Source organism: Homo sapiens, chromosome 16 (assembly GCF_000001405.40).
Source record: "Homo sapiens chromosome 16, GRCh38.p14 Primary Assembly".
NCBI classification, from domain to species: Eukaryota; Metazoa; Chordata; class Mammalia; order Primates; family Hominidae; genus Homo; species Homo sapiens.
In genome coordinates this window covers 57,027,152-57,041,000 of record NC_000016.10, presented here as the reverse complement: position 1 = coordinate 57,041,000, position 13,849 = coordinate 57,027,152, and the positions used below count along the sequence as shown (strand labels likewise).

Sequence of the window (13,849 nt, the reverse complement as noted above, 5' to 3'; positions counted from 1 at the left end):
GAGTCTCCACAACCCCTCAGCTGCTGGGGGTCAGGGAGCTAAGGGGAGTGGGGTCTCCTGGGCTTGGGAAGGTGGTTGACGGGGCTGCCTTGTGAGCCCTGTCTGGGGTGGGCTGGGCAGGGGAGGTAGGAGGTAGGGAAGCCAGGCCATGACCCCTGGACACAGCAGGTCAGGTGTCCTTCAGGGAGCATGTGGGGCCTGGGCACAGGTTTGGGAGCAGGCTCTGAGCAGGGGAAGGGAGGGGGCTGGAATCACACACAGGGCTGGAGGCCATCACTGTACCTCATCCTTCGGGAGCTCAGAGGCAGCTCAGAGGGCATCTGGAGCATGAGGCTGTCAAGAAATGCAGCCCTGGAGGGACATCACCAAGGCCAGGCTGAGCAAAGGCCATGTCCGCCATCTCCAGAATCCATCCTCAGCCTGGCCTTCCACCATCGAGCCCTATCCTCCACCTAGAGTCAATCAGACCTTGGTGCCAATTTGGCTTCTCCACTTCCTGGTTGTGTGACCCTGGACAAATCACAGCCTCTCAATGGGAGACTGTATGTGAACTGCCTTAGTTTGGTGCTTGGTGCATACATGGCAAGTACTCAATTGACCTTGACTGCTATTATCATTAATCTCATCCTCCTCCTCATCTGTGCTTCAGAGATGTCAGCCCCAGCTGGAATCGAGCCTTCAGTAGTCCAGACTCTACAGAAGAGATTGTGGGTGGGCTCCGGGAGCAAAGAGCTGAGTCTCTACCCATGCGCTAGGCTGGGGCAATCCAGGACCCTAATGGGTCCTTGTGTGAAAGGGATACAGAAGTTCCGACCAGGACCAGAGCTACAGGCCAGGCAATCCCCTGGGTTTAAGCTGGAGGGCTCTAGTCTCCCGGAATCCCCCTCTGGCTACCCAACTCCTGCCCTGGCCTGCTGTCTATATCCTACACACTGGGGCTCCTTTCAGGCACCATGAGAGGCGGAGGTGGTCTGGATTTGGACCCTCCCCCTTTGGGGCTGCATCCTTTGCCAAGCCTGCTCACTTCCCGCTCTTCCGTGAATTTGTCCAGGTCACCCTGGCAGTTGACTGACTGGCACTGCCCAGCTGTGGAGGGTAGAGAGGGGAATGTCCCTGACTGAGCATGGAGTTGGGGTGAAATCGGGCCCTACCTCTCCTGGGGCCCCTTCTGCTCCTCTGGCTCCTGGGCAAACATGAAGATCACAGTTTTGTGCTGCAGGCTGTGAAGACAAAAGAGGGGTGAGGAAGCGAGAGGTTATTGGCTCCCTGTTACTATTTCTTTTTGAGAGAAGGTCTCAGTCTGTTGCCCAAGCTGGTGTGCAGTGGTGCAATCATGGCTCACTGAAGCCTCCACCTCCTGGGCTCAAGCAATCCTCCCACTTCAGCCTCCTGAGTAGCTGGGATTACAGGCTTGTGCCATCAGGCCCAGCTAATTAAAAAAAAAAGTATGTAGAGACAGTCTATGTTGTCTACTCTGGTCTCGAACTTCTGGGCTCAGGTGATCCTCCCACCTTTGCTTCCCAAAGTGCTGGGATGATAGGTGTGAGCCACCGTGCCCGGCCTGTCACTTTTTACCCCTGGCCCGGGAGGACCTCTCAAGTTCCATCCCCCTGCCTCCAGCTGCAGCCACTTCCTCTGACTCCCCTCTGACTTCCTCTGAGCTTTTGGAGGGCTGAAATCTTTCTACCACAGATATTTCACAAATGTATCTATTGCCTAAGTAAGCCCCATTTCCTGGCAAGTCTTAAAAGAAAACAAATTCTGTGTTCTCTCTTTTAGCCCCAGACTGAAACCCCTCTCTCTGCTAGTCAGTGTTCTGTCTGTGCTCAAAGTATGTGTGGATTACCCCTGGTAACCTTTGGAGTGAGTCCTTCAAACCTTCCATTTTCTAGTGCAATAATTTTTGTTTTACAAACATGGGATTAAACTATAGATTCTCTTTTTAAACATTAGTTTTTTAAGGGCTAGAAGCAGGGATGACAAATAATTATTAATACTTGATCATTATTGATGGGAACAGATTATATATACCATGCTCTCTCTTTTTTTTTTTTTTTTTTTAATTTGAGACAGAGTCTTGCTCTGTCTCCCAGGCTGGAGTGCAGTGGCATGATCTCGGCTCACTGCAACCTCCGCCTCCCAGGTTCCAGCGATTCTCCTGCCTCAGCCTCCTGAGTAGCTGGAATTACAGGTGCACGCCACCATGCCCAGCTAGTTTTTGTATTTTTAGTAGAGACGGGGTTTCATCCTATTGGCCAGGCTGGTCTTGAACTCCTGACCTCAGGTGATCCCCCTGCCTCAGCCTCCCAAAGTGCTGGGTTTACAGCATGAGCCACAGCACCTGGCCCAGATTATACCATTCTTTCTGCCATTGCATATCTTGAAAAGCTTTATTATAATCTTTTATAATCTTTTAAGATAATGAGTTAAAATTTTTATGTTTGGCCTGGTGCAGTGGTTCATACCTATAATCCTTGCTCTTTGGGAGGCCAGGGCAGGAGGATCACATGAGCTCGGGAGTTTGAGAACAGCCTGGTCAATATAGCAAGACCCTCTCTCTACTAAAAATAAAAAAAATTGCCAGGCATAGTGACTCATGACTGTAATCCCAGCACTTTGGGAGACTAAGAGAGATGGATTGCTGAGCCCAGGATTTGGAGGTTACAGTGAGCTGTGATTGTGTCACTGTACTCCAGCCTTGGTAACAGAGCAAGATCCTGTCTCTAAAGAAATTTCTTTATGTTTACTTAATAACTCCCCGTCACCCCTCCATATTGAAACTGCACCTATATTATCATTTTTTTTTCTATGGTTCCACTGAGTTCTCTCTGGAAGTAACTTAGTCTAACTAATATCCCTCGGTTAAACATTCCAGCTATTTTCTTTTTTTTTCCTATTATAACCAATACTGAGGTGAACATCCCTACAGCTAAATGTGTTTGCACAATCGTGATAATTTATTTAGTATAAGTTCCTGGAAGTGAACAGGGCATCGCTTGGAATGCACTAGGGACCCTTTATTGAATCATCATATACAGTGAACCAAGGTCCCCTAATCTACCTTTTGGGTGAATCGGTTTCCCTCTCCTCCCTTGAGGGGTGTTTAAAGCAGGGACCACCCTACTGGGTTGAGAATGAGGCTTTCCTCCGAGTGGGAACTGAGTTGACATTAATCATCATCTGTCCTCACCTCCCCATACTCAACGGCGAGACTTACAGAAATAGGATTGGGTTCCCTAGTGGCAGAGCCTGGGTCTGTGAGTGGGGTAGGGGGTCGCATGTCACTTGTCAGTTGCGCACATCATGAACTGACGGTCTGCTCTCAGGAGAAACAGTAAGGGACTGAGGGAAGCCAAACGGAGCAAGTCCTTGGCCTAGTCTCCCAGGGAGCTTTGTCCCACTGGAGAGTTTGGGCTGGAGAGTTGTGCCCTCTGCCTCTGTCATTGGCCACTCTAGGTTAGGGGAAAGTGGGGGTTGTACCCTGCCAGGCGTCTCTGGTTCTTATCAGCCAAGGGTAGTTCTCCAGAGGTATAAACCATGAGCAGCCTATATCCACAGCAGCTAGGAAGAGGGGTGCCGGCTGTAACGGGGTCTGGGTGGGACAGCAGCAGCATCTTCTGCCCGTCCCAAGGCCTGGGCCCAGAAGGAATTCCAAGGGCTTCAGAGAGAGCATGATGGGGGGGGGGATGGGTACCGTGGTCTGAGGGAGCTCCCACCTGATGTGCAGCTCTGCCAGGGTCCAGCACGCACTCACGGCCCTCAGCACACAATGCACCCCGGCCACAGAAAGCCCGTTGTTACTGAGGCTGTGGAGAGCAGGAGAAGGCAGCCGTTGGCATGTGGCTGAGGTACCCAGCCCCAGCCAGCTCTAGCCCCTCCCTGTGGCTCAGCAGCTTGCTGGCTGTCACTCCTGGATGTCCTAGGTCCCTTGCCAGGGGATCTCAAAGGATTCTGGTGCGTGTGAGTAAGCCAAAAAATGCATGACACCCCCATCCCATTTGGAAAATAAAGTTGTCCAGCTTGACAGCAAGAACTCAGTGTTTTCACCTCTCTGACCCCCAGTTTTCTCATCTGTAAAATAACCACCATTTTCTGAGCCCTGACTATACCAGACTCTGTACAAAAGGCTTTGTACATATATGGTTTCATGTGATCCCATTTTACAGAGGGGAAACCGAGGCCCAGAGACATTCAATTACTTTCCCAGGTTCACAATGCTACTAAGTGACAGAGCGAAGATTGAAATCCAAAGCTGAGGCCCCAAACCACTGCTACCCAATCTCAACACTCCCCAAACCCGACCCACACTTGATCCTAAGACCCCCAAGACACCCCCACCCAAACATCACCCTCACCCCATGCAACACCACAGCACACCCAGCAGCCTAATAGCCTACCTTTCCATCTCACCACCCCTCACCCCAACAGTGTATCCCCACAGGAACACACCACTCCCTACCCTAGCACCCCAGCATGACACCTCCACAGTGCAACATCCCACCCACCCTGACACCTCCCCAGTGCAACACCCCACCCCACCGTGCTCCAGGGCAGCTACAAAGATGAATTGGAATGCAAGCCACTGATGTATAATGAACGCATTTTACACATGTAAGGGTGCTAGATGATTGGACTAAGACAGTGGCTCATGCCGGAGGTGAAGGCAAGGCATGGTCAAACCATCTTGACTTTGCTGGAGTTGGGAGGAAGCAGGGGTGGCAGTGGATCAGCACCCTTACTGCTGATTACGAACACGGGGACCTCCTGGGGCTCTACAGGGCCTTCCCTGGTACCCAGCGGTGGGGTGGACAACTCACTCCAGCTTCCTGGCGATGTGCAGCTGGGATGCAGCCTCTGCCATCAGCCGACAGCCTTCATCTTCCAGCTGGTTCCCTGAGAGGCTGAGACGGGGGGCCCAATGCACTGTATTGTGGGGCTGGAGTCCTCCCTCAATCCCCATCACTTACTCCTCCTTTGCTAACTTTAGTCAAAGTGTCACTCTCAGGAATGAACCTTGATAATAACTGAAATCGACAGACTCCATACCACATGCCTGGCAACATCCTAGGTTCTTCTATGACTATTGGCCTATTTCATCCTCATAGTGCCGATGACGTGGGCACTGTAATTATCCTCACCTTACTGATGAGTAAACTCAAGTGCAGAGTGGTTAAGTGCAGAGTAAAGTTAAGGCACTTGCTCGAGGGAGAACCTGGATTTGAACCCAGGCAGCCTGCCTTCAAGGCCCCACCCTCAACTCTTCCTTTATGCTGCAAGTTACATAATTGCTTTTTGTGATAAACTTCATGATTATGGGGGCATCTGACCTAGTCTGGGAGTCGGGGATGGCTTATTTGTTGCTTAAGCTACTTGCTGAAATAACTGGGAGTTCAGTAGGTAAAAGGTTGGGGGAGAGATGGAGGAAGGGTGTTCCTGGTGGTAGAAGCAGTACATTCAAAGGCCCTGTGGCATAACACATATGAGGACCTGAAAGAGAGCCAGTGTGTCTGGATTGGAGATTGAGTGGAAGGATGGGGTCAGATGGGGTTTAGGAGGCTGGGGGCAGGGTTCTGGACCACCTGGGAGTTTAGAATGTGGGTTTTATCCTGAGCAGTGGGAAGGAGTGAAGGGGGCAGGCATCAGTGAAAAGTGATCTACTCTCTGCCAGGTGGAAGTGGCCAGGGTGAAAGCAGGGAAGCCAGCAAGGAAGGCAAGGCGAGGGGGTCATCCAGGTAAGAGATGAGGGTGGGTTGGACTAGAAAGGTGGAGGAAAAGAGGATAGTTTTGAGCGCTACCAGTAGGTCCATCTGGAGGGACTAAATGTGGGAGAAGGGCAAGGGGGCTAGGAGGTGGCTGCGTAACCAGGCGGGTGATGGGGCTGCTTCTGCAGGTGATGGCACTCGGGGAGGGGCATGCTCAGTGCTGGTGAGGCAGGTAGAAGTGTGTGAGCTTGTTAAAAAACCACCTTCTAATTCTGTCCTGGTTCTCCCAATGGGACGAGGTCCAGGATCAAGAGGTGATCACCACGACAACCCTCACCCCTATCCGTCTTACCCTGAGGTGGGGCCACTCGACCCAGAACACATCCTGGCGTTCCATCATCTGCCTTCATGTTCACTTGGAGGTTTCCTGGAGGGGCGCCCCTCCTAGGGTCGTGACAGAGCCTCCGTCCATCCCCAAGCACTACTCTTATTGGCTTCAGCCAGGGGCTGGACGCCATGGGAATTTCTCCATCCCGAAAAGAGAAGGTTATCCCACTCTACTCTGGGAGAAGGATGAAGGGGGTGGGGGGAGCCCTGAGGGACTGTGGTTTGGAAGGCAGACCCAGGTGTGGTGGGGTTTCTACTTGGCAGATCTCAGCAAGAGAGGTAGCAGTGGTTATGAGGATGAGGCTGCGAGCCAGACTGTCTGGGCTTGAACCCTAGCCTAGACTCTTCCTACCTGTGTGGCCTTGAGCAAGTTTATCTTTCTGCAGCTTAACTTCCTCCTCTATAAAATGAGGACAGTAACAGTGCTTACATCACAGAGATGTGAGGAGTGAATGCGAGGAGGCATGTACAGTCCCTAGCACAGCACCTGACCCGGGACAAGTGCTGAATAGTAGCAGCTGTTACAATGATCTGATTCCCCCAAATTCTTCATGAGGCAGCATGCCCCTCCCCCACACCACCCACCCAAAGGCGAGGCCCTGCCCACCCTCTCCAACCTCCTTTCCTGGCTCCTACGCCAGGGCTTCCCGTGATACTCACTCCACTTCCTCCAGGTGAGGGCCTTCCTGGAGCAGGGCTATGAGGGCCTCCGCATCGTGGACCTGGAGCTGACACTTCTGCAGCCTTGGGTAGGAGTGGGGGACAGAAGGGCTCAGGGCAAACAGCCCCTACTCCATGGCCCCTCCAGCTTCCAATGCTGGGGGAGTCAGGGGGCCCACAGACCTGGGTCTAATCCTAGCCACACCTCTTAGTAGCTGGGTGATCTTGAGCAAGGGACTTAACCTGTCTGAGACTCAGTTTCCTCCTCCCTCAAAGGGGAATAATAATGTGTACTTCACAGAGATTCTAAAGGAATTACAGTGAGGTAATGGATGTAAAACATCTAGTGCAATGCCCGGCATATAGATAGCCGGTTCCATTAAGTTGCAGCTATTGTTATTATGACAGATGCTCCTTATTCAAGCCAGGATGGGCTATCCAGGATGGGCACCACACCCGGCTAATCCTTTCCCTGTCCCTCATCTGCTTTTCCCTTTATCCTCCCTGCCCCTGCTCTCCCTTGCCTCGGACTTTCCCCCATATCATATCCCTCTCCTAAGGCAATAGATCCCTCCAAGGTACCTGAGCGTCAAGCTTCTGCTCTGAGCCCCTTTCCTCTGGCCGTCACTTTCCTGCAGGTCTGGAGCTCTGGCAAGAACAAATCAAGCATTGGCCTGGGCTCAGGCATCTAGGGCCTGGTGGATCAAGCCTCTTTCCTTGGCTTCTAGAGGCTGAAGACCCTGAAGCACAACCCAAAGTGAGTCGGTAACAAAGGAGACTGCTTGCAGATGCTCAAGATGTGATTCAGCAGAGCAGGAGGGGCAACAGGTTTGAGGTCAAATGGAACCTTTATTCAAATTTTGGCTCTGCCATGTATAGCCATGTGGCCTTGGGCAAATCACTGCAGTCGGCTCCCTTTTCTCTTTTCTAAAACGGATGACAACATCTAGCACATAGGTACCTGAAGGATTGAATGAGACAATGTATGTCCAAGTACCCAGCATAGGTGTAAAATCGAAGGTTAGTAAACAGAAGCTGCTATTGTCGATGATGTGATGGTCTCCATTTGTGGATGTGCTGTCTGTGGTTCAGAAGGCGAGGAGCATGAGCTGTATGCAGTGAGTCCAGGCTATGGTAAACCACAGACTCTCTCCCACTGGGCTGAGGGAGCGTTAGGGGATGCAGGGAAGCTAGGACATCATGAGCCAGGTTTCACAGACTTTTTGGATTGGTGCTAACCATTTTTTTTTTTTTAGAGACAGGGTCCCACTCAGTCCCCAAGCTGGAGTGCAGTGGCTCTATCCCAGTTCACTGCAGCCTCAAACTCCTGGGCTCAAGTGATCCTCCCACCTTGGCTTCCTGAGTAACTGGTACTATAGGAGTGAATCACCATGCCCAGCTATTTTTTTTTTTTTTTTGTAGAGATGGGGGTCTCACTTTGTTGCCCAGGCTGGTCTTGAACTCCTAGCTTCAAGCGATCCTGCCCCCTCAGCCTCTCAAAGTGCTGGGGTTACAGACATGAGCCACCATGCCAGCCTGTTTAATAGAACTTTCTGCAATGATGGAAATGTCCTGGCATCTGTACCACTTGCTATGGGAGCCACTAGCCACCTATGGCCACTGAGCAGTTGAAATATAGCTAATGTGACTAATGAACTGAAAATTTCATTTTACTTAATTTTAATTTATTTAAATTAAAATAGCATTAAAATTTTAATTTATTTAAATTGAAATAGCATTAAAATTTTAATTTATTTAAATTGAAATAGCCATATGGGGCTAGTGGCTATCCTACTGAGCATCACAGCTTTAAGCAGTTAGAGGGAAAAGAAAGTGACACTGGTCCTAGTGGGTCATTTTTTGAGACAGAGTCCCTCTCTGTCACCCAGGCTGGAGTACAGTGGTGTGATCATGGCTCAAGCTCCCAGGCTCAAGCGATCCTCCCAACGTCAGCATCTTGAGTAGCTGGGACTACAGGTGTGCACCACCACGCCTGCCTTTTTTTTTTAGAGATGGGGTCTTGCTATGTTGCCCAGGCTGGTCTTGAACACCTGGAATCAAGAGATTCTCGTGCTTGGCGTTCCAAAGTGCTAGGATTACAGGCATGAGCCACCGCACCCAGCAACATTGGTCCTACACTACCAGGTCATTATACAAGCAAGGAATCGAGATCCAGAGAAGGGAAAGAGATTGCTCAGGGGCATACATACATCTGTCTCTGAGTCTTAGCCAGGAGAGCAAAGTGTGGTAGAGCACAGTTGGGATGGTCTTTTAGGGAAAAGCAGCTCCCTTTTCTCAGCCCATCCAAGACTGGCCAAGCTGGAATCCATGCACAGCTGGAATAGCCAGCATTTGACTGCCCACTGCATGCCAACAGTGCTCTAAACTCCTTAAGTGTAGTAACTCATTTAATTCTCAGAACAACCCTAAGATGTAGGTACCATAATTGCCCTCCCTGTCTTTTTTCAGTTGTAAGGGCTTTTCCAGAGTTTTCACCATCTAGTAATGCCAGTCTAACAGTATCTTTATGTTCTCCCCAAGGGTTTGCCTTCCTCTGAGTCTTCTGGGGATGCTTCCTTCCACAGGGACCAGATGTGGTCTGGACACGCTAGAGGAAGTTAAAATCCTTTGCCAACCTAAGCAGTAATTCATTCCTCAGTGCAGCAGTAGCAGGAAGAATTCCCATACCCCAGCTCTTCCTAGTCTCTTGGTCACCTTTCCCCTCAACTGCCTGAGCCCAAGTTGCTTCTAAGGATGGCCCCAGGCCCACCGCCTCTTGGCTTCTTACCTTTGTAGCTCTGCAGTTGTCTCTGTGGGCGGGGAAAGAAGGAAGATGAGGTCCGCCTCCCTGCAGGATCAGATACCAAGCCATGAAACCCAGAGACTGGAAACCAGCACATCACCCACCACAGGCACACCCTTTTCTGCCCCAAATGTTCAAACATCCAGATAAAGCTGATTTTGCAATTGACAGGGAAACATAACGGAACTAGCAAAAGTGTTTTAAATCAGGCATGTGAAATACTGATTATGTCTTTGCTTGATGAATCCTGCAAGAGTGTTTTAAAAAGTCAGAAAAACAATTTTCACAAGAAATATAATAAAAATTAAGAATGTTGTGAGTTTTTTTTTTTCCTTTCTTTTTAAATTTGAGATGGAGATCTCACTCTGCTACTCAGGCTGGAGTGCAGTGGTGTGTTCACACCTCACTGCAGCCTCAACCTCCACGGCTCAAGCAATCTTCCCACCTCAGCCTCCCAAATAGCTGGAACCACAGGCATGCACCACCATGCCCCATTAATTTTGTTCATTTTTTGTAGAGACTATGTTGCCCAGGTTGGTCTCGAACTCCTGAGCTCAAGTAATCCTCTTGCCTTGGCCTTCCAAAGTGTTGGAATTACAGGCATGAGCCACTGAGCCCGGCTGAATTTTTTTTAATAGAAATTTTTATGAGTAAGAAAAATGACACCTAACCTACCCCATGATCAAAACTGGCTATATTGGTTCAGCACCATGGAGGGCAACACACAGCTAATTATTCCTTTGGCTATGCCTGTGCTTCGTAGACTTGTTGACTCATTCCTTCATCCATCCATCCATCCATCCATCCATCCATCCATCCATCCATCCATCCATCTTTTCACACACCTATCCATCTTTTCAGCTAGCCATCTATCCATCCATCCATTCATCTATCCATCCATCCATTCATCTTTTCATCCACCCATCAATCTTTCCATCCATCCATCCATCCATCCATCTTTTCATCCACCCATCCATCTTTTCATCCATCCATCCATCCATCCATCCATCTTTTCATCCACCCATCCATCTTTTCAGCCATCCATCCATCCATCCATCCATCCATCTTTTCATCCACCCATCCATCTTTTCAGCCATCCATTCATCCATCCATCTTTTCATCCACCCATCCATCTTTTCAGCCATCCATCCATACATCCATCTTTTCATCCATCCATTAATTCAATATATACCAAGTACCAGGTGCCAAGCCTGAGCTAGGTTCTGAAGGTAAAGCTGTGAGTAAAACAGTAGGGTATGCACAGATTTATCCTGCAGACGAGGGGCCTCCTCCATTTCCCATCCCACTTTCCCCTCCTCTTTTCTCAAGGCCCATAAGGCCAAGATCCCTTTCCTTCTGCTCACCTGGCCTGAAGCATCCTGACGGTAGGACACGTGACTGCCACCCTTGCCAAGCAGAGTAGGGTTGACACGCAGATGCTGTTGCTGCTCAGGCTGCAAGATTGTGGCAAAGGTGTCAGGAGTGGAATCCCCTACCCCAGGGGCCCCAGACCTTCCTTGCCTTGCAAGGGAGTGGGGTGAATCAGGTATAGAGAGGGACTGGGCTGCAGAGGCAGTGGAAAGATCACTTACTCAAGCTTCCGGAGCCGTGGTAGGTGAGGGAGAACCTCCACAATGTTCAGCACCACCTGGTCACTGAGCTGGTTGTCCCGAAAACTGCGAGGAGACCAAGGCCCAGTCCCTTTGCCCTGGGGTTGGGGCACTTGCAAGCCCCAGTTAGCAAGTGACAGGATGGCCACCCTCATGTGGGAGACATAAGACAGGGGCCCAGAAAGAGCTGATGGCCTGCTCGCCGGATTCCAGCAGGCACGGCTAGGAGGAAAGACCCTCTGCTGGCCTCAATTCTGGGTCTATTCTGTTCCTATGGGGAAGTTTTTGCCTGGCGGCTCAAGGGATCTAGAAGACAGACTGACGGCCTCTTCATGAGGCACAATGAGGAGACCTAGCACCCTGCTCCCAGGGCTTATGCCTGGGATGTGCCTGGGATAGGCCCCCCAGGCAATGAGTAAAGTCTAGACTGGGACGCTGCAGACATCGCTTCCAGCCTCGGCTGTGGCCCTGACTCACCCAGAGCCCTGAGCCAAGCGCATTCCTCTCTGACCTCACTTTCCCCACCTGTTCACAAGCCAGCCTTGCCTGGGTTCCTAGCTGGGGAGACAGATGAGTTGAGGGGAGTGAGGGTGATTAAGAACAATGGTGGGTGATGAAAGACAAAATTAAAGTCACTTTCAATAGCCAGGGAAGAAAAATGTCAACAAGTTCAGTACTTCTGAACCTTGGCTTAATCACGGTTCACAGATGCCCAGCCGAGACGACAATAGGGACTGTGGTCCAACTTATTATTTTCACTCAACAAGTGCTGAACCTTAGTGACAGGCTGCATCTGTGTGGATGAAGTGGTGCCTTCTCTAAATGTCATAAAGGTGCCATATAAACTAGCAGCGTTCTGCCAGGGAGGAGGGTCACTGGTCCCACTCCTCCCCATGGTACTGAGTCCCAGACACAGGGCAGGAGTATATTTGTGCATACAAGCTTAGTTAGTTAGAGTGTGCTGGCATCAAAATGTGTACATGTAGTTAAAGGTGCATGTGTGCGCTGCATACATGTGCACACCTATGAGTGGGCATGTGTGGGTGCATATTCTTGCATATGCCTGTGTACTTCTGTGCAAGTGTAGACATGTGTGAACAAATGTGAAGGTGTGTGGTGCTTCATGTAGTTATGTGTACCCACAGTGCCTGATTCCTGCCTACGCACTGCTATCCCTTCTCCTGGGATTTCAGAAAGAGGGAGGGAGCCTTAACACTCATGCTCCTCCAAGACAGTCTAAAATATTAGATGAAGGAAGCCTTGCTCTGGGGACTCTGGGAGCCTTGGGTTTGGACTCAGCCCTACTGAGTACTTGGACTGATGCCTTCCCTCTCTGGGTCTCACTGAAAAACTACTGGTCAGACTTGGAGGAACATGCAGGCCCCAGGGGGACTCTGGGACCTGGGCAGTGGCTCATCTCCCCAGTCAGTGAGCCCTCCTGGAGATCACTCACCTGACTTCTTTCAGCTGTGGACAGAGAGGCAAAGCTTTCACCAGGTGGCTGATGCCTCGGGCAGTGATTTTACTTCCTGCTAACCTACAGAGTAAGCAAAGATGGTGGGGAGGAACGAGGAGGGGAAAAGGGCGGGGCCAGGAATCTGCCTTGTGTAGGATTAAGGAGAGGGAGGAGAGTACCAGGCATCCCCAGCTGAAGACCCTTCTCAGCTCCAAGGCCTGGCTCACCCCAGCATCTGCAGCCTCCCCATTGTCGGCAAGCTCCTGGAGAGGGCTTCTGCAAAGGCATCCCCACACTTCCTGCTCTTAAAGCTGCCATAAGAAGAAGCGAAGTGTCAGAGGATCAGTGCTGGGCAGAGCTGAGAAGTCATCGCCATCCCCTCAGAGAGATGGGGCTTAATACAGTAGTACTAACAAATACATATTATGGCCGAGACTTCTAATCGTCCACCAAAGCCCATTCTCCACTTCATCTACAGCAATAGAGCTATCATGAGGAACATGGTTTCCCAGCCAGAGATCACATTTCCCAGCCTCCCTTGCAGCTCAGTGTGGCCAGGTGACTATGTTCTCACCAATGGAATGTGAGTGGAAGGGATGTATCCTAGTTTCAGGACTGAACTTTAATGCATTGACATGTTCCTCCATGCTCTTTCCTTGTTCCCAAGCCAGAGCACAGATATACCCATGACGTAGCTTTGACTGTGCAGATAGGATTCCCAAGGGGATAATGGAGCAAAATGGGAGGGACCTGGGTACCTGCATGACTGCGTGGAGCTGAGCCATTCCACTGACCTGGACCACCTACCTCTGACTCTTCCATGAGAGAGAAATAAAATTCTACATTATTTAACCTACTGTATTTGGGGAGGAGGTTTCTCTGTTACTGCAGCCTAGCCTTTTCTCTAGCTAATATGCACACTGAGCCTTTGCTCTGTGCTAGGCACTGTGCTACAAAATGTTTTTCATGCACCATCCCATCTCATTCTTGCAATGACCATATGAGTTGGCTATTGTTACAGATTCGTTTTAGGAACGAAGAAACTCTGGCCTAGACAGTGTGCATGTGTGTGCTCCATATACTTGCCCAAAGTCCACCAGCCTCTATAGACAGCCTGGATCTGTGGTTTCAGCCCATGATTGACAGAGAGACTGAGAGTCCAGAAACCACAGACAAGAGGAGGATCCATTTGGACTCCAGAGGTCCTGTCAAGGTATGGAGCTTCCTCTCT

General features: G+C 50.4%; 1 protein-coding gene across 45 annotated transcripts in view, besides 2 other annotated features; it reads right to left on the bottom strand.

The window, feature by feature from the left end:
- NLRC5 (NLR family CARD domain containing 5) overlaps positions 1–13,849 on the bottom strand; it is a 93,964-nt gene that overhangs the window by 42,520 nt on the left and 37,595 nt on the right. For 31 of the 45 annotated variants that reach the window (NR_169517.1, NR_169519.1, XR_001752000.2 and 28 more), the window contains 11 exons: positions 12,846–12,929; positions 12,616–12,699; positions 11,145–11,228; positions 10,917–11,006; positions 9,538–9,597; positions 7,332–7,397; positions 6,750–6,833; positions 4,818–4,901; positions 3,717–3,806; positions 1,152–1,220; positions 283–351 (listed from right to left, as the gene is read on the bottom strand). Coding sequence is in view for 35 of the 45 variants with exons in the window: in NM_001384950.1 (NP_001371879.1) it covers positions 283–351; positions 1,152–1,220; positions 3,717–3,806; positions 4,818–4,901; positions 6,750–6,833; positions 7,332–7,397; positions 9,538–9,597; positions 10,917–11,006; positions 11,145–11,228; positions 12,616–12,699; positions 12,846–12,929 (864 nt within the window). In the remaining 10 variants the exon portion in view is untranslated. Of the gene's footprint in view, positions 1–282; positions 352–1,151; positions 1,221–3,716; positions 3,807–4,817; positions 4,902–6,749; positions 6,834–7,331; positions 7,398–9,537; positions 9,598–10,916; positions 11,007–11,144; positions 11,229–12,615; positions 12,700–12,797; positions 12,930–13,849 lie in introns of all 45 variants that reach the window. The other 14 variants (NM_001384960.1, NM_001384965.1, XM_047434760.1 and 11 more) reach the window with 7 other exon arrangements.
- Positions 1,405–1,604: an enhancer, noted in NCBI's record as "active region_10875". NCBI's record gives its function as "activates an Ori minimal core promoter by ATAC-STARR-seq in GM12878 lymphoblastoid cells {active_cell/tissue: GM12878}" and the evidence as "EXISTENCE:reporter gene assay evidence [ECO:0000049][PMID:35858748]".
- Positions 7,382–7,551: an enhancer, noted in NCBI's record as "experimental_43539 CRE fragment used in MPRA reporter constructs". NCBI's record gives its function as "activates a minimal promoter by MPRAs in K562 erythroleukemia cells, with activity observed for the non-introgressed 16:57067447 variant allele {active_cell/tissue: K562}" and the evidence as "EXISTENCE:reporter gene assay evidence [ECO:0000049][PMID:34662402]".